General features: G+C 39.6%; 1 protein-coding gene and 1 long non-coding RNA gene across 3 annotated transcripts in view, besides 3 other annotated features; one reads left to right on the forward strand and one right to left on the reverse strand.

Annotated features, from left to right (window-relative positions):
* Nucleotides 1-5,131: 5,131 nt before the first annotated feature.
* Nucleotides 5,132-17,290, reverse strand: LOC124906105 (uncharacterized). The gene is made up of 2 exons (XR_007087465.1): nucleotides 16,384-17,290; nucleotides 5,132-11,618 (listed from the first exon to the last, which is right to left on the reverse strand). It is a non-coding gene; the product is annotated as an uncharacterized LOC124906105 (long non-coding RNA).
* The window catches only part of ITGAV (integrin subunit alpha V), a 90,846-nt gene continuing 80,732 nt past the window's right edge, over nucleotides 17,450-27,563 (forward strand). For both annotated transcript variants that reach the window (NM_002210.5, NM_001145000.3), the window contains exon 1: nucleotides 17,450-17,917. In NM_002210.5, the coding sequence (NP_002201.2) occupies nucleotides 17,733-17,917 (185 nt within the window). In that variant the 5' untranslated portion in view covers nucleotides 17,450-17,732. The remainder of the gene's footprint in view (nucleotides 17,918-27,563) is intronic.
* Nucleotides 17,513-17,742: a silencer, noted in NCBI's record as "silent region_12168". NCBI's record gives its function as "represses an Ori minimal core promoter by ATAC-STARR-seq in GM12878 lymphoblastoid cells {active_cell/tissue: GM12878}" and the evidence as "EXISTENCE:reporter gene assay evidence [ECO:0000049][PMID:35858748]".
* Nucleotides 17,873-17,932: an enhancer, noted in NCBI's record as "active region_16844". NCBI's record gives its function as "activates an Ori minimal core promoter by ATAC-STARR-seq in GM12878 lymphoblastoid cells {active_cell/tissue: GM12878}" and the evidence as "EXISTENCE:reporter gene assay evidence [ECO:0000049][PMID:35858748]".
* Nucleotides 22,576-22,870: a silencer, noted in NCBI's record as "tiled region #6200; HepG2 Repressive DNase unmatched - State 5:Enh". NCBI's record gives its function as "represses a minimal TATA promoter and a strong SV40 promoter by Sharpr-MPRA in HepG2 cells {active_cell/tissue: HepG2}" and the evidence as "EXISTENCE:reporter gene assay evidence [ECO:0000049][PMID:27701403]".

Below are 27,563 nucleotides of genomic sequence, written 5' to 3' on the forward strand. Positions count from 1 at the left end.
AAATAAAATAAAGAAACTGTGTATGAGCCTCCCATGATGGCAGGAAAAGTAAACTACCATTATTTAGAACAAAAACATTTTTAGGCAGCTGACTTTGTGTGAAGCTTAACTTTTCCTCCTCATTTTGGGAGACTCATGTGGCATAAGAGATGCATCCCACTTTGCCCTAGCTCACCTCCAAGCCAAAAATTTTCCGAAAGGGCGCACTAAGGAAAGGACAAATAGTTAAATGTTTGCAAAACAATTTGCCACCCACCCTCTTCTGAGTCACCTCTTCAAGTTGGCAACCTTTCAACCAGCTGATGGTGCCACCCAGTATCAGGGGCATGTATGGACTCCTTAAGGTGGTTTCCCAAGGCATGGTAGCAGCTGCTGGAGCTGGTGAGGGGGATAGGTCAAGTAAAATATCTGGTCACAAATTCTAGATTGTTTGGATACTGAAGTAGAAGACTGGCCAGCCGCAGTGGCTCGCGCCTGTAATCCCAGCACTCTGGAAGGCCAAAGCAAGTGGATCACTTGAGGCCAGGAGTTTGAGATCAGCCTGGACAATATGGTAAAACCCCATCTCCACAAAAATACAAAAATTAACCAGGTGTGGTGGTGTGCGTGCACACACACCGCCCCCCACCAAACAAACAATGTAGAAACTTAATAAAAAAAAGAAAGTACAGGACTGAGGGGAGAAGAGATAGAGGGAGTAGGCTAAGCACACATGACAGAAGAGAATATATGATTAAGCGGACAAAGTAAACCAAGGTAAATAAAAAAGAAAAGAAAGAAGACGATTCCATGGGACAGCACTCCAGCATAAAGTACAAGATACCCTAAAGGCATTTCTCAGTCAAACAAGACTACAAAAAGAAGACAGTGATTTAGGGAAGATGATAAAAAAATGGATGGCACCAAAGTGACAACAATTAAGAGGAAAAATGAGGAAGGTGTTTGGTTAAGAAACAAGGCTTTTATAGACATTTCTATTTATATTTTGTGTAAGTATGTGTTATATATACGTTATGTTCATATCAGTAGCTTTGAAAGCATACTTTTATGTTATCGACATGTCTGTGAAAAACAACAAGACTTAAAGATTTGATTTTCTTCCGTAAGCCACATTCCTTGACTCCAGTCAAGCCTCCCAGAGTAACAGACAATAAATACCAGTCTTTTCCAAGCCAGTCTAACTCTGAGGTGGTGGCTGTTTGGTTTCTATTAGAAACATTAAGAAAAATAAATTATTTTAGAATCATGGAAAAAGTACTTTCCAACAATCTTGGTGTCACAGATATAAAATTTCTGAATTTGGAAAATATTTAGTGAAAAATATTTATTATAACAGTTGAAATAATAAAAATCTATTGCTTTCTTGCCACTGAGCTTAAGCAAAGAAAAAAAAATCTATTGCTTTTCTCAATTGCTTAGAAAGCATAACTGAAAGTGGACACACTGAAAAGACTTGCAGTGGAGATCCTTCAACTTCAGCCTCTGGAGATTATAGTTACTTATCCCATAAATATATATATATACTATGTATCCACGAAAGTTAAAAATAAAAAAAATTAAAACAAAGATTACAGTTACTATGTAACAACCAGAGTGCTCTTTTTTTTTTTTTTTAAGGGATTGCCTCCCACTAAGGAGATAACAATAAATATTAACCAGTGTTGCAGTGAACTGGTTGGCCAAAGATAGCAGGTCTTTGTTCTTTGTTTTTTGTTTTTTGTTTTTTTGAGACGGAGTCTCACTCTGTGGCCCAGGCTGGAGTGCAGTGGCGCGATCTCAGCTCACTGCAAGCTCCACCTCCCAAGTTCACGCCATTCTCCTGCCTCAGCCTCCCGAGTAGCTAGGACTACAGGCGCCCGCCACCACGCCCAGCTAATTTTTTGTATTTTCAGTAGAGATGGGGTTTCACTGTGTTAGCCAGGATGGTCTTGATCTCCTGACCTCGTGATCTGCCTGCCTTGGCCTCCCAAAGTGCTGGGATTACAGGCGTGAGCCACCTTGCCCAGCCAAAGATAGCAGGTCTTAACATTGGTTGTGCATAGGAAACAACTGAGGTGCTTTAAAAAAAAAATTACTGACACCTGGCTCCCACTCCCAGAGATTTGGATTTTATTAGGTGAGATGCAGCCTGGGCATCAAGAGTTTTAAAAGCTCCCCAGATTTTTCTAATGTACAGCGAAATGTGAGAAACACTAAAACCCTCGCTACTGACCAGTATGGTCCATGGACCAGCGGCATTGTTATTACCTGAGAGCTTTTTACAGATGCAGAATGTCAGGCCTCACCTCGGGCTGATGAATTAGAATCTGGATTTTTCCAAGGTTCCCATGTGGTTTGGTTTATATGTACATTCATGTCTGAGAAGCATGGCTCTAAGGAATTCTTGTCACTGATCATTTTTTCTTTCTCTGATGTTAGATAGTAATTCCATAGTTAATAAAAGATGAAAGAAAAATAACTCAACTTTCATTCTCTAAAACGCAGGAGAAAAGACTTTCATCTGTGACATTCTGTAGCATGATAAAAGGTGATTGATGTGAGATGAGATCCAAATATGTAGGGTTGCCAGATAAAATATAGGCTAGTCAATTACATGTGAATTTCAGATAAGTGATTTTTTTTTTTATTTTTAGTGAAAGTATGTTCCAAATATTGCACAGGGCATATGTATACTAAAAAAGTATTCATTGTTGATTTGAAATACAAATTTAACTGGACATCCTGTATTTTTATCTGCTAAATTTGGCAACCCTACATATATTCCCAGGAGCCTCTCTTTGCTCTCTAGGCTCTCCTAGTTGAAAAAAAAAAAGGAAATGATACCATAAATGGCCAAGTGGCTGCCCCTAAGCTGTCTAGACTGATTGCCTGTAATGTTGTTTCTCATCTAGCCCAGACACAGGACTCTGACTTAGGGAAGCCAGGCTGGTGACTCATCTAAGTGGGAAATTTACTTGCTGACTCAGGAGGACATAGTTCTTGGCAAACTTTTGCCTTAGAATAAACCAAAAGGGAAAAAAATATATAAGCAAACGTTAAATACAGGAGAATGTATTAAAACACTTCAACTTAAGGCAACAGGCAAATTAATTGTATATTTTCTTTCAGTTGATTAAATGAGATTTTCGTGGTTTCCTCTTTTACCATAGCTTGTCCTAAAAAGTGATTTTTGATAAGAGCAAAAGGTTTTATTTAAATATGAAAATGGTAGAGAGAATAAAGATGGATTGAAGTCAGTTGGGTACAGAGTATAAAATTCAACGCTCACTTTAGGAGGAAAGACTGAGATAGCTGACTTGCCCATGGTGGCACTCAGGGTTTGGCATTTTTCTGAAGAATTAACTGCTATTTAAGTCCTCTCAGAGGCCACTTTCCAAGAATACATTTTAAATCAGTTTTCTCAATATTCCATGTAGCTTGTGTATACAGTAGCAAATTCTTGGAGCAGAGATGTAGGTGTGGCTTGGGTGGAAGCCCTCCCTTTGCAAGCCTGGTAGAAGAGGAAACTAAATTTACTTAGCCAATTCTGATTTTTTCATATTTGAAAAGGTTTTGATGGGAAAAACCTGAACAAAATAATTGTGGATATGTGCAATTCTGTTGTATTAATAATTTTTTTCTTAAATAAGTCCATAGTTGTTTTTGAGTAGGTCCAAAATGGAAGTTAGATACCAACTCTTTTTTTTTTTTTTTCTTTTGAGCTTCTGAATCTTTTCGACGGAGGTTGGACCCTTATATTTAATAACTATTAGCCATGATATTAACAATCCTGGTTTTAGGACTGGAAAGCAAAACAACCTGTTTCTAGCAAATACTGACAGAAATTTTCATTTCAAAGCAAAGCCCATAAAAAGCATATCCCAGAAGTTTCATAAACACAACAATCCCTGCAGACATGATGGAGAAGGGACTAAGTATTAAGAACTATGGTGTACAGGAAAAATAAATACAGCCACAAAATGCTTTGTGACTGAATCTATCAAGAAATGAAATCTATTTTTTCTCTGCTTTGAACTTGGTCTGGCCATCTCGCTTGCTCTGACCCAACAAAATGTGGCAGAAATGATGTTGTACAAGCAAGCCTAGGCCTCAGGAAAGCTTGCAGCTTCCACCTTTGCTGTCTTGGAGCATTGCCCTGAGAAGCTGCTTCAGCTGACTGGAGGATGAGAGGTCACAAGAAGAACTGAGATGCTCTGCTGCTAACAGCCAGCAGCATTGCCAAATACATGTATGAGGCTATTTTGGACCTTCCAGTCTAGCCGTGCCTTTACCAGAATGATGATGCTTGAGTGAGCCCAGGAGATGCCAAAAGAGAAACTGCTAGTGAACCCACACAGAATCATGATAAATAAGAAATCATTGTCTAAAGCTACTGGGGTTGTCGGGGGGAGGAGTTGATATGTAGCAATAGGTAACTAAAAAGATGGAATGCTCAAACTTCACTAAGTTTAGTTTCACTAAAACGCCCCAAAATAAATTCTAAAAAAAAAAAACTCAGGTCTCGTCTCCACCCCAGAAATCCTGATTTAGCTAGGCCTGGCAACCCACTTTTTATACAAAGACCCCAGATGGCAGTGGTCCTCAGACCACCTTTTGAGATACACCCCCTAGCAAGATTTTCTTCAGCACAGAGGAGGCTTGAGGTAGGTGGCCACATAGCTGTGCATTACTCCTGCAAATGATGCTGCTGGAGCAAGTGCACATTTGTATCATCGTCACCATACGCAGTGTCCCAGGTACCAACAGAGCATTTTTGTTTATATATATATCTTATTATAAAATGGAAATTGAAAAGATTATTTCTATTCTTCCTCACTTATCTAACATGGATTATTGGAGAGGGAGTTGATTGGGGAGCAAAATAGCACAGCCCTCTGCGGAAATGGGCTTGGTGGAGACTTTGACTGGAATTGATATGGGTTAAAGTCTTGATATTGGCTACATAGCAAAAATGCAGCTGAGTTGAGGCAGAAGTGGGATAAAAAGTGTGCAGATGTTTTTTGAGCATTATGAAAGGAAGGGAAAGGAGAATAGGGAAGGCAGATGCTCGGGGAGGTTTATTTGAGTGGAGAACCATATAAATTGTAGGTGAATATGCTGAAACCACTATAGAAAGATGAAAATGAATGTGTCTGAGGGAAATGACCAAGTCTTTTATTTATTTGTATGCCCTCATCATAGCTGCAGCATAATAGGTGTATCATAAAACAAAGGTGGTGTGAAGTGTTGAAAGCTGTAGTTTTCAGTTGTACTTGACGGTGGTCCTCTGGCAGCATCTGGGTTCTGCTTTTTCTTAGTCTTATATATGTGAATTCTGCTAGTGTGCCATTTGAAGGGTTCCACTGCTAAGAAACGTTTGAAAACCAATGAGTTAAAGCATGAAGGAAATGCTATTTAATTGAAGAGAAGGATTGATTATTAGACAAGTGATATTGACATTTCTGAGATGTCTGCTTTCCAGTGGTAGGTGAAAGATTCAAACTTAATCCTCCTGGGGTTCTCTTTTACCCTCAGGAGGTGAGGAGAACCCAAGAAAACTCTCAATAGTAGCCACTTCCCAAGGACTTTTAGGGAGATCAACTTGCATTTCTTTTGCTACAGTTAAAGTGAAAGAACTTGTGGTGAAAACACACATTTCTAGTATAGTAACAGAACTTCTACTCAGAATTTTTTTAAAAACTTATTTTTGAAATTTTAGTTGCTGAAATAAAGAGTAAGATGAAATCATAGATATGTACAGATAGTTGGCATAGGAGATCCCTTCTGACTCTTCTGAGCTTGAACTCACCAGAGAAATATTTTGAACCCTGATACTCACTAAATGAAGATTGTTTTCTCTTTCTCTTGGGAAAACGGTGAAATCAACTGTTATTTGTAGGTAAATCACACAAATATATGTATGTTTTTTGTCTAGAATAGAAATTATACATACTGTAGTAAGGGAAAATATATAACATTTCATAATTACCATGAGAATCCTTTTTGTTTATAAATTATGCCTACTTGTAATTTAATGTATCTGTATTCCTCAGGATTGACTAGGCGGTATTATAGTATCAAATTAACACAGAGATCTTGGCAGCTTAATGCAATAAAAGCTGTATTTCACCCTATTGCATGTGAGACACATTTAGTAAAAATATGTAATGCAAACATCAGGCATTTAATTTCATTCCATATACCCAGGCAGCATGAGTATAAAATAATACAAATGATGCTTTCTAGCAAATGAAATTTCTCTAAAAATAATGGTAAGTTTTGTTGTCAAGGCGAAAATAAATTGTTTCCAAATACAGTACCAACCAAGGTGTAGCAAGGTTAAGAAACAGTTTTCAAATCATCACAACCACAGAAGTGGGGTTAACTGAGGAAATGGCTTGTTAGTTGACATAGTTCCCACAATATCTAAAGATAAATGTATAATTTATGATACAGACAAAAAGTTTTAAGCCAACATTGCATTTTGACCACAAAAATATTATGCCAATGATTATATAATTTTCATAGTTGGTTTAAAACTAACAAAAATAGATTTAATTAACAGTAGGAAGGCCTAGGGGAATATTTTTCAAGTTTCATAATCGGGATAACTGATTAATATTGAAATAAAAAATTCAGGGCACATGAGGGAATTCTTTTTCTCCTATATAAGTACCAAGAGTTATATGTGGAAAACTCCTTGAGAACAAGACATGTTACTTATAAGTCTGTATTAGCCAAATATTATATTTGTATGCCTAGTTACATCTCTATCTTTGTGGAACTGCCCTTCCTCCATCTTAAGTAATAACAACATTCATCAACCACAGTGCTGTGCCACATTATTCCCATAGGAGTTTATCACCTGACCTGTGGCCAACCATAATATCTCACTCTCTGAATACAGTGATTGGTTCAGGGGTGAGCAATTATTATAAACACAGTCAATATAAATCATTGCCTTGAGTTGAGATACTTATTTGAGAAGAGGGTAGCTTTATCATCTATGGATTGCTAAAGTAGGACCTATAACTGTTTTCTCTGGTCAACTGTACAGCCTGATGCAGTTGGAGAGGGTAAGGCCAACATAAAGTAGAAAGCAGAGCTGGAAAAAGAATTGTGTTGTGTTTGAAGACAGAACCAACACTGCACTTCTGGGTTATGTGAATCAATCCATTCTCTTTTTCACTTTAGCTAATATGAATTGGGATATTATCACTTGTAACTGAAAGAGTCCTGACAAATACTTCATTTCATTCCCTTTTTTTTTTTTTAAGAGAGAGGGTCTCACTCTGTTGCCCAGGCTAGAGTGCAGTGACATGATCGTAGCTCACTGCATCTTCAAACTCTTGGGCTCCTGCTTAAGTCTCCTGAGTGGCTAGGACTACAGGCATGTGCCACCACTCCTGACTAACATTTTTTATTTTTTGTAGAGACTGAGTCTCGCTGTGTTGCCCAGGCTGGTCTTCAGCTCCTGGCCTCTAGCAGTCCACCTGCCTCAGCCTCTTCATTCTTGAAAGTGCTGTAGCATCTACCACAATATGCCATAGCATCTTGTATGTAGCCCTGAGTCAGTAAAAGTTTTATAATTCAATAAGCATTGATAAATCTATCTTCTGGCATCCTCAAAAGGTATTGTTGGTGATCAAGGCATAATTTTGTCAAAATAATTATTATCTACTTGCTTCTCTAACTCAATTACAACAGGAAAAAATTTTCTATCTCTCTCTCTTTTTTTTTTCTTTTTGGTTAAAAGTTCCACTTCCTATATGTAACACTGGATTTTCAAAGTATTGGCTGAATTCTTAACTAATGTACCCATGTGAAATACCATTTAAAAATACATATATGCATCAAGTTATGTTCAATAACTTTTTTACCTATGCATTTTTCATTTTTATATGACTTACTTTTCAAAAGTTTGTTATGCCATTTTTGGTAGTCAAGAAAGATTTCCTATTGGAGATAATATGTAAGTAAGTATAAGATTCTCAGACATGTTTATAAAATCTTTTTAACTCATATTGTTTACAGTGATAATATAATAGAAAGATAAATGCCTTTCAAGAGACCTGTATACTAATCCCAGTAACACCTTTTATTGATTTTATGACAATGGCCAAGTCCTCTCTGAGGCATCTTTTTCTCATAACAATATATACTTACATAGCATATATAGTTATATGAAAAAGAGAAAATTTTATTTCAAACTCTGGAGCCAGAATCCTTTTTAGAATAAGAACATTTTAAACTTAAGTTTTTCATTCAAAATTTTGAGTCTTGCAATGTAAGTTCCAAACATGGTCTGAAAAAAAAAGGCCAAAACAAAGAGAAGTCTTAGTTGCTCAGTATGAAATCTGAGAAAGATGTAGACATGACATTGGCCCAGAAGGAAGACACAGGGGCCTAGGAATGAGGACATCAAAGAAAAGAAGGTCTGGTGGCAAGGAGTGCACACAACACAATGACAGGCCAGGAGGCTGAGAAGGAGATACAGTCAACGCAATGTTCCCATGGTAGGAATGGCTGAGGGCTGTAAATATGTCTACTATTCAACCGTAAGTGGTTAGCTGGCCTCCGCTGCATTACTCTGAAATATTACCCTCCACCATCACCATCAGACTTTCTACAGAATTCTGTTACATGCAACCACCATGCATTCAGGTTCCTTTGTGGAATAAATGTAAAAGGGGCCATATTCCATTTTTTCAGTTTGGATGAAGTATGTGCAAGGTTGAGTAAATAAACCGGATGCAGAAGGTGAGGTGCCAGTGAGATTGGGAACTTAATTTTGGCTTAAGCCCCTTTGAGAATTCTTGGAACACTGGCAAGAATCCTGGCAATAGTGGGAATTATGTACAGCCCACACGCAATCTCAGATGTGCAAGTAACATCACATTATTTACACTAAAATCAATTTGATCTGACTCAGTATCCTTATTATTCCTGCATGACCCCATACATTTCTGTGGGTTTGCTCCTTCCAAGCAGAGAAATATCTGCTCAATCTGGAAGCCCCTGCATTTAGGGTTTTGTGTCCATAGCCTGCTACCTTGCTATCACATTTGACAATGAGACATGTGTCCCAGAGGAGAAGAGATATTGAAGGCAGTGAAAGAGAAAAGCAAGGTCAAAAATGTTGATGCCAGAGCAGCTTCTTTTTTTTTCCACTGCACTTGGCACACTAATTCTATGATGATTAAATTAATGAATAAATGAATTCCTAATATTAAAAACAGAAAAATTTGGTTCAGAGTGGAGCAGTAACGGAGAAAAAGTTTCACCATTTATTTTTGCAGCTATGGCAATACAAAGTTGGAAGAGACTTTAGAATCTATCAAATCTGATTCTTTAACCTCGGTATCAATACCATCTATAACTATGCTGTCCAATTTGGAAGCCATTAGATACATGTGACAATGAAAAATATTTTTAAGTTGAAATTTAATTTTTCCATCATACTAGTCACATTTCAAGAGCTCAAGAGCCACATATGGGTAATGCAAGTGTTCAGACAATATAAATATCGAACATTTTCATCATTGAAGAAAGTTATAGTAGACAACACATATTTATTACATCCCTATCAAATGATCATCTAGCCTTAGTTTTCATTCTTCTTAATAAATGTCCTTTACTACTGCATTTCAGGTCAGCCATATTGTTAGGTTGTCCTTGAAGTTTCTTCCATATATTTATCCTTGATATTTTAGACATGTGAACAAGATTTATTCTGTATAGAGAGTACTTCATTAAAGTAACTGTTTAGAAATTTTCTTAATAATAAAGATAGTCTAAACTGAAATAGTTAGAACAACTAGACAGAATAAAAAAGTTTTTTAAGGACTCTCTTATAACCAAAGAATAGAATTAATTCATGTAACCATCTCCATACTAGTAATTTAGTCAAAACTCAGAAGAAAAGAAATCCAACTGTAGAATGGTTTATGCTTCACAAAATGCTGAAATGCATAAAACCTTTAATTTTTTGTCTCTATGTGCTAAATCTAATGCTATTATGCAATTAAGAGTTCTGTATCTAACATCTTAGTGAACATCATCATTTTCTATTAAACCCAAATATATCCATAAAGACTGAAAGGTGAAAATCTTTAGTCTTCAAGTTTTAGAGGAAGTAAAGGTGGAGATTTTAGAAAACCTCCCAGAAGGAACAAAATTAGTGATGGCACCAGACCATCTGAAAATTAGAGTATTGCTCACAATGACTTAATTCATACTTGTTTTATTAATGTCAACAATTGGAGGAGCTTCCATGGAGCATATAAACTTTTAAAGACCCAAAACAGTGAACTGACTCATCTTTCTGTACATAATAATAACCTTGTATCATCAAGAAAACTACCTGACAATGTTTCTCTTTTAGCTACTCTTCTCTTTTAGAGTGGTCAGTATATTTAGCATAATTTCTATCCAAATAGGTTAAGAATAAAAATTTTTGGCACTCAAAATTTAAATCTCTGTTTGAGGAATTAAGGTGAGTATATCAGCTAAGATTAGGTTAGTCAAGGTATAACCGAAAATCCAAGTCATAACAGCTTAACAAAGATAAAGGTATATTTTTCTACTGCATAATACAGGTTTACAGTTCAAAACTGTTATGATGGGTCCATGGTTATGAGAAACACAAACTTTCTGTTCTATAATTCTTAGTTCATGACCTATATTACCAAGTATAGCTTCATGTCCACAATGTGGCTTCTGCAGTTCTGACTATCACATCCATGTCTTAGGCAGCAGTTATACAGAAATTGAAGAACAAAAAAGGTTCCTTGTGATAGTTAAGATAGCCCCCACAAAAGAACTTTCCTACAAGCTCCACCTGACAACTTCTACTGACATATCTTGTCCATCTGTAGGAAGCTGGAAATGGTTTCTTTTTTTCCAGCTAGACCACTGTTGCCACCACACAATATAGGGGTTTTATTACCAAACAAGAAGCAGGCAATGAATATTGGATAGCTAGCTAGCAGTCTCTGTCTGAATAAATGAATTATCCTTTCTTTGTGCTAAACTTACATTGTTGCACAGGCCATACTGTATATACTTACTTATACTGAAAACAGAATTGTGTAGCAATAGAGAGCATAGGATGTAATTAGGGTGATCCTATGTTCCAATTTGCCCTGGAGAGTTCCAGTATATAGCTGTTGTATCAATATAGTTATTATTAGTGTTTCTATTACTCTCTAAAGTGTCTCAGTTCGACAATAAATTGCATGGTCACCTTTGCTATTATAAACTGGCTAGAACATCTCTAATACTTCCTAGCTCTGTGACCTTAGCAAATTACTAACTTTTATAAACTCATTGTATTAGTTATCTATTGCTGAATAACAAATTTTAAACCCCAAACATATTGGCTCAAAACAACAAACATTATCTCAGTTTCCATGGGTCAGTAATTAAAGAGCTACTTAGATGGATGGTCCTGGCTCAGGGTCTCACTTGAGATTGAGGCTGGCAGGAGCTGCTATCATCTAAGGGCCTAATTGGGAGGCAGGATCCACTCTGAAAATTGTTCGCTCACATGGTGGTTGGGAAGAGGCCTCAGGTCCTCACCATGTGGGTTTCTCTATAAGGCAGCTTGTGTGTCCTCATAACATGGCAGCTGGCTTCCCCTCCAAGAGAGAACAAAAGGAAGCTTCAGTGTCTTTTATGCCCTAGTCAACAAAGTCCCACAGTCACTTTCTCTTTATTCTATTCACTAAAAGCAGTTTACTAAGTCCAGCTCACACTCCAGGGGTGACTATAGGCACATGGCAACATGCCTGGGTAATTTTTTTATTTTTTGTAGAGATGGGGATTTGCCATATTGACCAGGCTGGTCTCAAACTCCTTGGCTCAAGCAATCTGCCCACCTTGGCCTCCCAAAGGGCTGGATTACAGGTGTGAGCCAACACACCCGGTCATGATTTCTATTTTGGTGCTTTGAATCTCAGTTTTATATATCTTCTATCATAGATTGTATCAACTCTGAAAGATAAGTTTGAAAAAGGAGTCTTATGGAAATAGGACCACAAGGAAGGTGCTCAATAAATGTATAACTCCAGGTGGAAATACGACTGGATATTTAAAATGTAAGTTTGACTCTAGTAGAAACAATAAGTTTTAATATATATTTATGACATATATATGTATATGTATACATATATGTATACAGAGATAGCAAGAGAGAGACAGAGTATTGCTCTATTGCCTAGGCTGGAGTGCAGTGATGTGATCACAGTTCACTGTAACCTCAAGCTTCTGGGCTCAAGTGATCCTCCTGCCTCAGCCTCCCAAGTTTGTAGAAATGGGGTCTCGTTATGTTGCCCTGGCTGGTCTCAAACATTTGGCCTCATGCCATCCTCTTGTCATGGCTTCCTAGAGTGTTGTGATTACATGCATGATCTTCCTTGCTTGGCCAATGTATGTTTTCTTAATCTACTCATTAACTTTCTCTTCACACTTGAATTTATATAGTGATGTCACTGAGCTCTTGCTATGCTGCCCAGGCTGGTCTCAATCTCCTGGGCTCAGGTGATCCCCCCACTTCAACCTTGCAAAGAACTGGAAATATGTTAGTTATTATTAAGTCTCTGGACAATGGAATTAATTTCTAAGGTCCTGTAAGCTCCGAGAATACAAAGACAGTAAGGTATGGTTCCCAATGAGTCTTCCTAGGAGACATGGGTTTTTGCTATGCTGCCCAGGCTGGTCCCAGTCTCCTGGGCTCAGGTGATTCTCCCACTTCAGCCTTGCAAAACAGTGGGGATATGTTAGTTATTATTAAGTTCGTGGACAATGGAATTAATTCCTAAGGTCTGTAAGCTCTGAGGATACAAAGACAATAAGGTGTAGTTCCTAAGAGAAGTCTTTCTTGGAGACAGGCTGACGCCTAATACAAGCAATGAAAGAAGAATAGGAAACAGCCACTTTAAGGACATTGTGTATGTTTGTATATAACAGAAGGATGGAGGCTTGTGGAAAATGGTTACAGGCAGAACTAATGTTGCCCAGGAAGATGGAGCCCTTTGAGCAAAGATAGCACTCTGGAGAAAAGTTAAGTTATTTAATATGGCTAAAGCTCCTTTGTGAGGTGGGAAGTGTTAAGAAATGAGAGTTGAGAGCATGACAATGCATAAGATCACCCTGAGGAGAACTGCAGTGATTCAAGAACAGAGACTTAGGGAATCCTAGCATTGAAGGGGTAGTTTAGGAAACATGGCCCAGAAAGGTAACAAGTTTACTGCCTGCCTTCTCTTCTTTCCCATTCACCCAAAGAGCAGAAGTGCTGGCCAGAATCTTTTCTGATACAGATCAGATAGGAAAGGGCAGCACTGGGAGTGGAAGTGGTTATGGGGGTGAAGAGAGAACAAGTCAGTCTCCCTAATAAACAGCCAAGAGAGGAGTGACAGGAGTGAGTTAGACAAGCAAACAGCAACAAAAATTCCAGGGCAGGGTTTAGTGGGTTAAAGTCTCCAGAGAAATTGAGAGTAGAAGAAGCAGATTTCTGAAGTTCCCATGGGTTATTAACTGAATCTCCTTTGAGGTTCTTTGAGAGAGATAAAATTTGAAATTCCTCTTAAATTATGGACTAAGTTCCTTTGTTTGCAGAGACAGAGCTGCGTGAAGCCCTGGTTTGATTATGGTTATTGAAGGACCTGTTGGACAGACACTAGGGGAACTAAGAGAGTGAAATAATAGTCATAAAAATTTACGGCAGGAGAATTGCTTGAACCCAGGACGCGGAGGTTGCAGTGAGCTGACATGGCGCCACTGCACTCCAGCCTGGTGACAGAGTGACACTTTGTTTCAAAAAAAAAAATTTATTATTGCTACCATGCTAAACTATTAGTCTTAAAAGTATTAATGGCAACAAGAACTGTTCAATTCTAAGAGATAGACATAGTATTACTCCCCTTTCCCTTTCATAGATAAGAAAACTGAGGCACAGATTGGTTGGATTGATTTCCCCAGGGTCATACAACTAGTAGTTGGCAAAGCCAGGAATGGAACCCAGGTGCTTTATTTTACAGAAACCACTGGAATCAAGATTTTTACTAAAGTATAGGGTAGTAGAGGATAAAATTCAAAGTACAAATTCTTTTTACTATCTAATATTTTATTTTCTAAGAAAAGGATTATATTCAATGAATACTTAATGTATACACAGAAGTTCTCCTTTTAAGTTGGAAAACTGTTATAATGTAGTTCAAAGAGTAGTGTCATGGGGGTAGGGGAGGGGCACCACCATTCTTTCGTAGACTAAAACATTCTTTTCTCTGTCCCATGCACATAGTACCAGGTGCAATGTGGATTTTGAATCAGCACTAGCTGAATTGACATGTTCTACAATACAATTTGCAAGGCACTGTGTGAGTGGCTGCTCGAGCATGGTCACACAAAGAGATGCCTGCATTTATAACCCCAAGTTTCTAAAGCCACTGGGTTAGTCTGCTTCATAGTTTCCTAATTGAAATGTATGTTTGCTTTTTTTTGTTGTTAGACAGTCTCGCTCTGTCACCCAGGCTGGAGCACAGTGGCCCACAATACCACAATATCTCGGCTCACTGTAGCCTCTGCCTTCCGGGTTCAAGCAATTCTCCTGCCTCAGTCTCCTGAGTAGCTGAGATTACAGGCACACACCACCATGCCTGGCTACTGTTTTTTCTTTTTTGAGATGGAGTCTCATTCTGTCATCCAGGCTGAAGTGCAGTGGCACGATCTTGGCTCACTGAAACCTCTGCTTCCCAGGTTCAAGTGATTCTCCTGCCTCAGCCTCCCAAGTAGCTGGGATTACAGGTGCCTGCCACTGCACCCAGCTAATTTTTGTATTTTTAGTAGAGATAGGCTTTCACCATCTTGGCCAGGCTGGTCTTGAACTCCTGACATCGTGATCCACCCACTTTGGACTCCCAAAGTGCTGGGATTACAGGTGTGAGTGAGCCACTGCGCCCGGCCAATTTTTGTATTTTTAGTAGAGACGGGGTTTCACTGTGTTGGCCAGGCTGGTCTTGAACTCCTGACCTCAGGTGATCCACCCACCTCGGCCTCCCAAAATGCTGGGATTACAGGCATGAGCCACAGTGCCTGGACTATTTGCTTTTTTAAAAAAAACAAATTCCTTGATTTTCAAGACTGCTCATTCAAAATAAACTCATAAAGAATGGCTCAACAGTAAGTGCTTTCAGTAAGTTGTAGCCCTATTTGGGGGTGTGTTGTTCACCCAAGTTTTGGTGGGTGTACATGTGTTGTCATTTCGTGGGCTTCTTCTTTTCCCTGGTCCTCTCACATTTCTTCACTCCACCTTGGTCTGTCGGACCCCTGTCCTGCGATCAGAAGTTGAGGAGTGGGAGACTTACTGGATCTAGCCAGAGTTTAAACTCTTCTGTCTTCCTTACCTGGATGGATTTCCAGGTAGACTGGTTGTCATGTTTTTAAGATATAAAAGACCCTTTGGGTTTATGCATACATATCAATAGCCTCTTTGGTGTATTAGGAAAGAAGGTGAGAAATAAGCTGTATTTGCATTTATGTGTAAGGATTTGTGTAGGATTTCTTCTCTCAATCAGTAATTTCTTTCAGGCAGATGCTAGACCATGCCTTGTAAAACATGCCAAAGGTTTTGCTGCATATCTTTTAGTCAAATTTAAAAATGGAAATATTTAATGCATTTTTTTTTTGAGATGGAGTCTCACTCTGTGGCCCAGGCTGGAGTGCAGTGGCACCATCTCAGCTTACTGCAGCCTCCGCCTTCCGGGTTCAAGCAATTCTCCTGCCTCAGCCTCCTGAGTAGCTGGGACTGCAGGCGCATGCCGCCACGCCCGGCTAATTTTTTGTATTTTAGTAGAGACGGGATTTCACTGTGTTGCCCAGGCTGGTCTCGAACTCCCGAGCTCAGGCAATTTGCCGGCCTCAGCCTCCCAAAGTGCTAGGACTACAGGCATGAGCCACCTCGCCCGGCCTTTTTTTTTTTTAAACACAGGGTCTTGTTCTGTCACTCAGGCTGGAGTGCAGTGGCAGGCTCATGACTTATCATAACCTGGAACTCCTGAGCCTAAGCGATCTATCTACCTGCCTTAGCCTCCGGCATAGCTGGGACTACAGGCATGCACCACACTCCCAGCTAATTTTTAAATTTTTGTAGAGATGAGGTCTCCCTATGTTCCCCTGGAACTCCCGGTCTCAAGCAATCCTCCTGCCTCAGTCTCCCAAAGTGCTGAGATTGCCAGCATGAGCACCTGGACCTGGTCCAATAAATATTACAAATTCGAATTAGGCATTTCACTTTCATTTATATACATATCCTTTCACAGGATTATTTGATAGTTATTAATGTATATTATGATTGAGTTTTAATAGTTACTTTGGGAAAACAGAAATTACTGTTCCAGTACTTACTTGTAAGTTGTAAGTCCACACAATGCACTTAAACTTCACCTTGTTCAACAGATTCTGTAGCACATGAAACACTTGAAATATGGAAGAGTCACTTCTCTGGGCACTTTGCTCATTTCGTCTGCTATTCATTCACTGATTGGACATTTTATTGATCGACTACTATCTGCTTGGCAAGGTGCTAGAAATAAGAACACTAAGAAAAAGGTCAAGGTTCCTGTCCTCAAGGCCCTCTCTCTCAGTCCAGTGTTGTCAAGGCTTGATGAAACACACCAGTGGCAAACAAGCACGCGGGGCCTTATTTCACCGGTGTGCGGTCCTTCTTCCAGCTCTGAAATTATGTCTATCCAAACATCCTAAATCAACAAATCAGTGTTTCTAAATCATACAACCGCAGCTAACAAACTGGGAATAAGGCTTCGATTATTCTGACTTGATTTAAAACGATCACTGCCAATTCTTTGCCCTGCGAATCCTTTCTTTGACTACTAAGTTAAGCTTTACATACCTCACTTGCAAGAGGCTATGCTGGCTTTCTGGAAATCCGTAATTAAGTTCAGTGTTTGTGGAATGGAGTGTAATTAACGACCATTAATTAACAGGGTTTCGTTCGTGAGAGCCTGCCAGGCTAAGCAGCAGAAACACGAGAAACTGATAAAAAGCTTTCCTCATTTTTAAACAACAGTCGCACGGAAGTTCCCGGCGGGACAAGGGAACGTGGGTGCCCTTGCTACTCCCGTGGACGCGGGTAGATTGGGACGCTGGACCGTATCTCCCCGCCCCCGCCCCCACGCCTCCTCAGGTGCTCAGCCTGAGGCCTTCGTCCAGGAGCGCTGCCGCTGACCCAGGCTCAGGAGCTGGGGGCCCCTGCACAGACGCCCAGGTCTCGGGACAGGCGGCGACTGCACTCACGGAAGTACGCTGAGCTCTCCCCTGTAGAAGGGCGCCTCTCCTCCCCCACTTCCTCCTCCAGCTCCACAGCAGCCTCCCGGGCCGGCTCCTCCTCCTTCCAGGTCTCCTCCCAGTGCCGCCGCGGCTCTCAGGCCTGAGGTGCGGCGCTCACCCCGGCAGTCCCCAGCCTCAGACGCTGCGTGGAGCGGCGGAGCCGGAGGGAAGCAAAGGACCGTCTGCGCTGCTGTCCCCGCCCCGCGCGCTCTGCGCCCCTCGTCCCTGGCGGTCGCTCCGAAGCTCAGCCCTCTTGCCTGCCCCGGAGCTGTCCCGGGCTAGCCGAGAAGAGAGCGGCCGGCAAGTTTGGGCGCGCGCAGGCGGCGGGCCGCGGGCACTGGGCGCCTCGCTGGGGCGGGGGGAGGTGGCTACCGCTCCCGGCTTGGCGTCCCGCGCGCACTTCGGCGATGGCTTTTCCGCCGCGGCGACGGCTGCGCCTCGGTCCCCGCGGCCTCCCGCTTCTTCTCTCGGGACTCCTGCTACCTCTGTGCCGCGCCTTCAACCTAGACGTGGACAGTCCTGCCGAGTACTCTGGCCCCGAGGGAAGTTACTTCGGCTTCGCCGTGGATTTCTTCGTGCCCAGCGCGTCTTCGTAAGTGGCCGCACTTGGAACTGGAGCCGGCCCCCTCCCCCACCGCGCGCACCCACCCAGCGTTTCTCCATTGGGATTGATTTCCGAGAGATCCCGGCGTCTGTCTGTCTCACCCATCCTACCTCTCAGAGTGGTTTATATCCTGGGTGGAGGAAATATTTGGGGAAATGAACTCCCTTTGGTACCCATCACCCAGTTACACCCCGCTTCTCACCTCTTAAAATTGGTTAGGGGCAGCGGGAGAGCTTTGAAGCAGACCTGTGCTTAAAAATCGGGGAAAGTGGGAAATCAACAAAGGCTGGTCTTGCCGGACTCCCCGCCTCCTGTGCCAGTGTCGAGGATTTGGTCAATATCATCCCCGAACTTCTTTTTCTCCTCTACCAGTTAGGCTTCTTGGTAGCCTTTTTCTGCTTTACAGGCTTAACGCCCGTCCTTTTCAGTCTCCCTAAACAAGCCCTCCCCCACTCTTTCCGCCTCTGTCTGATTCTGTTTCTCCTTACTCCTTTTGCAGACATTCTGATGACTTAAAATGACCATACTGTCCTATTGAATTCATTGTGTCTTATCTCTGGGACTGTCAGACATTTGCACATTTGAGGTTGAACAGATGAATTGAATGTGTCATCTGTTCTTTTTATAGTGATTCACTATTTAGGTCATTGTTCAGAAGGAACAAGGGTGTTTGCTGAGTTTTCACTCGCTGCAGGTCATTTGAATACTGCAGTATTTAATAATTCAGTTATGTTTTCAAGTTGCCAACGTTCCGCGTTGCAAGGGCCGTCAGGATTTATAACAGTTATTGCCATTATTGTGTTAGAAATTGTCTCCGACTTTACTGAATGCTGACATCATTCTCACCACCCCACCCCCATGTTAGCGTTAGGAGTACTGTTTTAATGAATGTTGACTGTTTTTTTAATGATGTTTAAATCTTGTTTTCAAGAGAGAAACTGTTCTTAGGGTGCCTTCTAAACGCTTAGACCTTGTAACAACATATTTTTGTTTCCATATTTTCTGTATAAGATATCCCTTCGGGGTGAAGTGGAGGAAAATTTTGACGGTTAGTACGTGGATAGGACCATCTTCTACTACACACATGCCTAATTTGAGGGTGGTCTCAATGGTTTTCTATGACTGTTAGGACACTCAGCAGAATTTAGTCTTAGTGTTTTTCTGAATGTTACTGAGTATCATTCATTTTGGTAACAACCTTTGCAGCAATACATAGATTAGATGCAGTTAATGGAAACTTTGTTAGTGGAGACATTATTTTATGTAGCAAGCTTAGTTTTATTTGTTGTTAGCAGTTACAGTGCTTTCTGTGAGACCTGGAGCACAGATTTTCCAACATGATAAAAATAATCATTATTTAGGCAACATTTACCAATTTCACATTCCATTTAGTCATTTTAGTCAGCATTATCTTTTTATTTATTGTTTTTAACCACAGGGGTGAATACCAAACGTTATCTTTAAACATTTTTGTTTCCAGATACTTTCAAGTGTATACCTTCATGAGACAGAACATTTTAGTTGCTCCCAAGGGTTCAATGTGAGATATAATTTGTAGAGAAATTCTAATGATTTTGAAAATATATGTCTTCAGTCAAAAATTAGCATTTAAATACTTCAGGCCAGGCACAGTGGCTCACACCTGTAATCCCAGCACCTTGGGAGGCCAAGATGGGCAGATTGTCTGAGCTCAGGAATTTGAGACCAACCTGGGCAACATGGTGAAACCCTGTCACTACAAAAAAATACAAAAATTAACCGGGCATGGTGGTGCACACCTGTAATCCTCGCTCTGCGGGAGGCTGAGATGAGAGGATTGCTTGGAAAGTTGAGGTTGCAGTGAATGGAGATTGTGCCACCACACTGTGGCCTGGGCGATAGAGAGAGACTGTCTCAGAAACAAAAACAAAATCAAAAACAACAAACAATAACAACAACAAAATAAAGTTGATGGCAGTGTTTTACAATGTTACTGTTAATTCTTCAGCAGTGCTCTGAGTTTAGTGTAAGATAAATGAGAGGCTGATAAACTTTAAGTGTTTTTTTTTTTTCCATGAAAAATGCAGTGATGTTGAACTCTTCATGATATTTGCTACTGCTGATTACAAACCAGGGTGACTAATCTTTGGCCAGTCATTATAATCAATGAATGTGTTATGACCTCACAGGTTTACATGACTTCACTCATAGACCTTTAATGATAAAGTAAAATTGAACTTGGGTTTGGTTGCATATAATATTTTGAAATATTCATCAGCAACTTTGTTACCGATAGACTACAGAGCTCTAGGTATAGGTAACTTAAAAAATGGAAACCAACCTTGAATTTTTTTCTTTTTTCTTTTTAAACAAAACGTATATAAACACAGGTTTTTACTTACTGAGCTTTTCAGATTTAACAAAAATTTATGTAAAATTTTGCTGAATTTTCTAGAAGGGCACTTTAAATTTAACAAGCATTGGAATCCAAGGTACTTGGGATGCCATTTCCAATATTACCAGTTGGATTTATTGTTATTTGGTATTACCATAAACTTTTAAAAGAAAAAAAGCCACATAATGAAAAAGTATTTGTCAATTCAAGAGCGCCTTTCTTCTGAGGGGAGAAGGATTTGTGAGGAGCAGTGGTTGTGACGTCCACTCCTGTTGCTTTTTCCAGTTTTGGTGTCCACATACCTTGGGGAAGCTGTAGAATTATTTTATGCCTAATTTTTCTCTTTATAGAAAATTATTATTGAATTATCTGCATAGTTCATAGTTTTGTTGTGAAAATTAATGAATCAATATTTATTAAAGGGAAGGACAAAGTACTAAGCAAAATGTTAAGGCGGCCCCTCAAAAAATCACTCCAGAAATGAGTCAGGTTCGAAGTAAAAATTCACAAATATAGTGATTTTCAAAATTATGAAAAAACATTCGCATTCTGTTTTTTTTTCTATAAGCATTTATTTATGCTATGTTGTAAAACTTACATAAAATTTAAAGATTGTATGCAGGCTAATAATTAGAGTCATACTTTTCTTGTGGAGACTAATTGGAAAAATTAAAAATTACATCCTAGGTTTAATTATAATGATGACATCTTATTTTGGTAAACATATTTTATAATTTGCTAAGCACTTATATCTCATTTCATTCTATAGCCCACACCACCGGGGGGAAGTAAGGGGAAGCAGATATACTCATTCTTACAGATGAGGAGGAAATGGAGGCAGAACCGTTTGCAGTCTAGTTATTTGAGTAGGTTGGTGTGAGTAGAGGGTAAGGAAGGGAAGGATCCGAAGACAGGGTGTAAAATTCAAATCCCACTTTTATTAATTCAAATATTGAATTTTTAAAGAAAATAACTGAACAATTTTAAAATTCATTCTTCAAATATATGTTATACAGTTCTCATTTTATGTATTTCTTTATTTTAAAATAATGCTATAATGAATGACACTGGATTCTTGCCTTTCCCCCCATTAAACGCTAATGGAGCCTTATCTTACAGTTGGCAATGTGTAGATGTGTATGCCTTAGAAGCAGAAGGTCCTTCAATGGTTCTCAGTCCTAACTTCATGTTTGCAATATCTGGAAAGCCTTTTAAATAAAACTCTTGCCCTGGCTGTATCTTAAATCTAAAAGTAGATCTCTGACTTGATATTCCAGTGGCCTGGCCTGTGAATCATTTCTCGTTGACTAGCCTGTCTTAACTCAATTTGACTAAAAAGTCTTCACCAAGAGATGTTAGTTGCACCTCTGTTTCTATTAATGCTGGCATCATTTTCTCTGTCACCTTGGAAATACTTTCATATTCCTCCCTCTCATGTTCTATTTTTCTGTGTTTCTCCTACTTCACCACCTTAATATCAGTCAGTGATTAGTCAACAGGCAGAAGCTCCTAGAAATTCTTCCTTTTTAAGGTTTTCTTGATTCCATCTCTGCTTTCTACTCCTTATTTCAGTGTAGTTATGACAAGCATAGTCAGTGGCACTCAGGTCCTCCCCCATCCCTCTGCCCATCATTTGGCTCTTAAACGTGCAGAACATCTTGTCTGTTTCTATTCATTTTATCTTTCTGTAACATCCTTTTTCATCCTGGTATTCTGTTGCAAAAATTTTCATAATAAAGCTTCCATTGCCAGCAAGAAAGTCCAAACCGCTTAACATGGATTAAGGTCACTTGCAATCTGTCCCAACCTGTGTGTATTTTTAAAACTTCATGTACCATTTCTACTCTTACCATTTTAACCCTTTTCACAACACTTTACAAAATGATGCCAGCTCATTTTTTATAAACTTCAGAGTAGCTCTGATTATATTGGCTGATTTTTCTCATCATAAATAATATACATGTATATTAGGGGACATAAAACTAGGCTATAATTTTGTTATTTAGAAAGCAAATCCTATATTACTTCTGATTAAGGACATATGATGTTTCATAGAGCATTATGAAAGACAAGGGAAAATATGTGGAAATTGTAGTTACTGCTTCTGTTTTACAGTAGTTGTTGACTGGCATTTTTGTTTTTCTTTTGATTCAAAAAAGCATTTTTTAAAAAATGAAAAGTAAATCTGAAACTGGAATTGTAGCTTTGAAATAACATTCAGTACTATTTCATACACATTTATTTCTATATACATGTATGATAGTTTTTCAGAAGTTCCTTTTGGTGAAGGCTCATTGGTCAACTCAGAGTCAGCTAAATATATTAAACATGCTTTATCTTAGAAAGGTCAGTGCTGAAAGCAGACAAACAAGTTAGTTTATTTGGAGGGTTTGAAAAATGGACTTGTCATTGTTTGGCAGGTTGCCCCTCCTTGGTTGTCAAGGTCACATTCCGTGAATCAACTGCCCTTCAAGTACAGTTTGGATAGGGAGTGCATCCAAAGGCCATCCTCCTGATTGGTTCCTCTGAGCCTCTTGTCTGTCTCCCTCTCACTGCCTCCTCTGATACCTCTCCCTCTGTATCGCTCTCTCTTTTTTCTTTTTCTGTCTCTTGTCCTTCCTCTCTTTTTCCTTTCCTCTATCTCTTTTCTTCCTTTCCATCCATCTTTCTGTCCTCTCTCCCAAACTCAATCCTTTATATTTTAGCACTTCTTGGCATGGATGTAAACCTTAATTTTGAAGTCCCAGAGAGTTATTTAATGGCAGTGTTTCCAGTCATTAAAAAAAAAAATGTTGAGGATGGGGATTCTGATGATGTTCTTGGACATACTTTTTGGAGGGAAATGGAGTCTATCAGGAGAGAGTTGCGGGCATAGGAAATTAAGTCACTCAGCTTCAGATTTACACTGCTAATCAGTGAAAACTCTTGTCAACCTTACCTCACCCTGTGTATTCTCCCCACCTCGCCACCATTGATAAGAAATGTTTAAGCTGGCTTTTCTACCCTTCTTTCTCTTTTTCTTCTTCATTTGAGTTAATCACTTGACCATTAATGGCCCTTTGAAAACACTGAGGAAAGAAAAGCCCTTTTAAAGACAGAATTTAAGTTTTACATTTTCTACTCTTCTAGGGAATAACTTATTAATGGCATCAATTGTTTTCAGGACGAAGATGATAATTAAATCCCATCATCTTGTATTTTCGTGGTGTTTCAGATTTTCTAAGTTTGCATTTATTTATTATCACCTTCAGAAAGTTTCTTTTTAAAGTAATTACAGTGGGCATTGTTATTGCCATTCGATAGAAGGGAACAGAGATTCAAAGTTACTGCTTCAATTGATTTGCAGTGTTTGTAAATTTTAATTCCAAACTGTTTCCATTAGATAGTGCTGCTTAGATCACAAACATTTTTTTTCTGGTCTGTCAGTTCTCTTACCCTAATTAAGCTGTTGTACACTTTCATTAGTCATTCTTAGATGAAATTCAAGTAACAATTATTTTTATGGAGTGTTTTATTAACTTTGTTTTTTGTAGTATGTGTTGCTTTTTTTTTTTTTTTGAGATGGAGTCTTGCTCTGTTGCCCAGGCTAGAGTGCAGTGGCACAATCTTGGCTTGCTGCAACCTTCGCCTCCTGGATTCAAGCAATTTCTGGCTAACTTTTGTATTTTTAGTAGAGATGGGGTTTCACCATGTTGGCCAGGCTGGTTTTGAACCCCTGACCTTAAGTGATCCTCCTGCCTTGGCCTCCCAAAGTGCTAGGATTACAGGCATGAGCCACCGTGCCTGGCCTGTGTTGCTTTTTATTCCTTAATTTTTTTATATAGCATCTTTTATCACCTTGTACCCAGTTTTCTATGCAAGTATTTCTTTTTCACTACACAGCTTCCTCGTAAGACTTTAACATATGTCTAAGGTCATTTTACTTTCTCTATCTCTTCATTGTTCTCTTTAAAAAACTTAAATATCTTAATGATAACTTTAATATCGAGATGGCATTTTGGATGAAAAACTTCATCAGCTTTTTTCCCTCACAAATTTAGCATGTAGATATTGACACATTCCTTTTATATTATTCTGCCATTTCTGTAGCATTTCACCAGTATGCAAGTCTGCACATGAAGGTATGCTTAGGAAAACTTAATGAACATCCATTTGTACACCTGATTACCATCATTTCATGCCTATAATGTGCAGATAGCCTGATGAAAAGCAACAGGCTTGTTCCTGGTATTATTCAAGGAACTCATGCTATGTGCTGCCAATAGAGTGGTGTTTTCATTCAGAGAATGCTCCTACTGGGCTCTTTTTCTCTGTCTTTGTTGAAGGCCTTCTCCTAATAACTTCCGAGCTCTCTCTGTCTTATAGTGCCAAGTAAAGAAAGTATCTGAAACCCAAAATTAAGTAGAGATGTTACACAAGGAAATTGTTTTAAGGGTAATTTAAATAATTGGATGTTTAATAGAGGATGCTTTCTGCATTCTTGAGGGGTTCAGACGTAGTGGAAATGACTTATTTATATATGGCTACTTTAAGATTGAGACATAGCTATTGAATTTACTTTGTTACTCCACTGTCCATTTAAACTTTTCTTGAGTTCTTATAATGTGGCAGGTGCAAAAGATGAATTAGAGTACCCTACATTCAAAGAAGCAATTTATCATAAGGTAGGCAGAATAGTTTTGACCAAAAAGTTATAAAATATATTGTAAGACAGGGGTCCCCAACCCTCGGGCCATGGACCAGTACCAGTCCATAGCCTGTTAGGGACCATGCTGCACATCAGGAAGTGAGCAGCAGGAGAGTGAGCATTACCACCTGAGCTCTGCCTCCTGTCAGATCAGTGGTGGCATTAGATTCTCATAGGAGCAAACCCTATTGTGTGAACCCTGCTGTGAAGTGTGCATGCAAGGGATCTAGGTTACATGCTTCTTATGAGAACCTAATACCTGGTGATCCGAGTTGGACAGTTTCATCCCGAAAGCATCCCCCTCTATGTCCAGGGAAGGAAAGGTTGGGGACCACTGCTGTGAGCTACTATTTGAAGACAACCCAGAAGTGATTTTTGCTTGTAGGTTTCCAGGCAAAGCTTGAGAACCAGTTCTCCTATCCTGATGTAGAACCTGGTATGATCTACAACACTAAGAACGTGTACATACCTGTGCTTGTATTACTCTCATTAGGACTACTGTGGCAATGTCCCAAGCAAGCACTATTCAAGATATTGACCCTCAAAAGCAAACTTACCTGAACTGTTCTTTTGTTCTAGTATGCACTCAAAAATCATTTAATTCTGATGAAAAGGGGTAGTTGTGTGATTTTGGGGTCAAATTTTAGACCCGTAGAAAAAAAATTGTATATGTAATAAATTTACATATTATAATTTATACACACACACACACACACACACACACACACACACAGAGTTTCACTGTGTTAACCAACTCTGCTCTAGAAAAAGAACCGATGGGGTTTTGATGACGAGCTGCTCTCTTAGTTATGGGAGGTGGGGACTCTCTTACTCATAGCATTTTTTTTTTTTTTTTTTTGAGACAGAGTTTTCCTCTGTTGCCCAGGCTGGACTGCAGTGGCGCAATCTTGGCTCACTGCAATCTCCACCTCCCAGGTTCAAGTGATTCTCCTGCCTCAGCCTCCCGAGTAGCTGGGATTACAGGCTCATGCCACCACGCCTGGCTAATTTTTATATTTTTAGTAGAGATGGGGTTTTGCCATGTTGGTCTCAAACTCCTGACCTCAAGTGATCTGTCTGCCTCAGCCGCCCAAAGTGTTGGGATTGCAGGCATGAGCCACTGTGCCCAACCTCTTTTTTTCTTATGAAAGACTTTTGCTGAATGAAAACTAAGTTCATTTTCTACCCAGAATCATTTTGCCGTGATGGGAGAGAGCCAACATTGGTGTTTTACTGATGCCAGATATGACTGCATGGAGCTCTATTAAATAGGGCGTGGTTTGGTTGGGAGTTACGTCTTTATTTTGAATTTGTGGATTTTTAAGATAAGTGTCAGAAAGCAGGATTCTTTGTAACCCTGCAATTCGTACAGCCAGCTTTTGTCTACTGTAGATGAGATTTGGCAGCTACTACCCAGAATAAGAAATTGATTTTAAAAGTTCAAGTGAATGCATTCCATATTTAAGATGTACATTCGTTCTAATTTCACAAAAAGGTGAAAAGCAATTGTAAATGTTTCCTTTGCCAGAATAATTTAAGTGACTTAGTATTTAATGAAACAAAATGATTATGGTGATAGCATTTTAGGACTGTTTTTGTCTGCCTGTATCCTGCTTTATTTCCTCCTATATTTCAATCAGTTTCTTGAGATTAAAGACAAAAATCTTTTTTACTTTATCTTCTTTCTCTTCTTGACTCCTAAATGTTGTTGTCCCTGAGAACTCACTCATTGCCCCTCCTCTTTCGACGCTTCCCCTGGCTGAATAACCCCAACTGTGTTCTGATACAGCATACTGTCTCAGGCAGGGCTTCAGACTACAACTGGATGACTCACAGATATCTCAAACAAACATATTAATAATTGAATTCATGGTTTTTCTGTAAATACTAATTTTATTTTATTTCTTGAGACAGGGACTCATTGTTTCACCCAGGCTGTTTGCTTACTTTGTAGCACTTGTAATCACAGCTCACTGCAGCCTCAACCTCCTGGGCTCAAGCCATCCTCCTGTCTCAGGACCCCAGCTCCACCCCCAAAGTTGGGACCACAGGCGCATGCCACCACACCCAGTGAATTGTTTTATTCTTTGTAGAGATGGGGGTCTTACTATGTTGCCTAGGCTAGTCTTGAACTCCTGTAAGTACTTAATCTGCCTTCTGCTTCTCTGCTCTCTAGGCTTTTCTCCCATCAATGCACTCAAGAAGGAAATCTAGGTGGCATTCTTGAATGTCTTTTCTCTCATATTCAGGCCTCCAGCGATTGCTGTTGTACTCCAGATGTTTTTTTCCATCTGTCACCTATCTTTCCACCCACCCTCTTACTGCAGATCACACTCACCTGCTCCCTGAGCTGCGGCCAGTCCTTTGCTTTCCTTGTTCCATTTTTTTCTCCCTCTCCCTTAATGCTTTCCCCATAGGGCATAACATTTAGTTTTCTTTAGTAGATGATTTCATTCTTCTTAAAAAACTCAGTGGCTTCAAATGAACCTTGGGATAAAATACAAAGTTTAACCATGGCCAAAAGGCCCTATTTGACTTAGTTATTGCCAGGCTCCTTGACCTTATCTTGTGCC

Source organism: Homo sapiens, chromosome 2 (genome assembly GCF_000001405.40).
Source record: "Homo sapiens chromosome 2, GRCh38.p14 Primary Assembly".
NCBI classification, from domain to species: domain Eukaryota; kingdom Metazoa; phylum Chordata; class Mammalia; order Primates; family Hominidae; genus Homo; species Homo sapiens.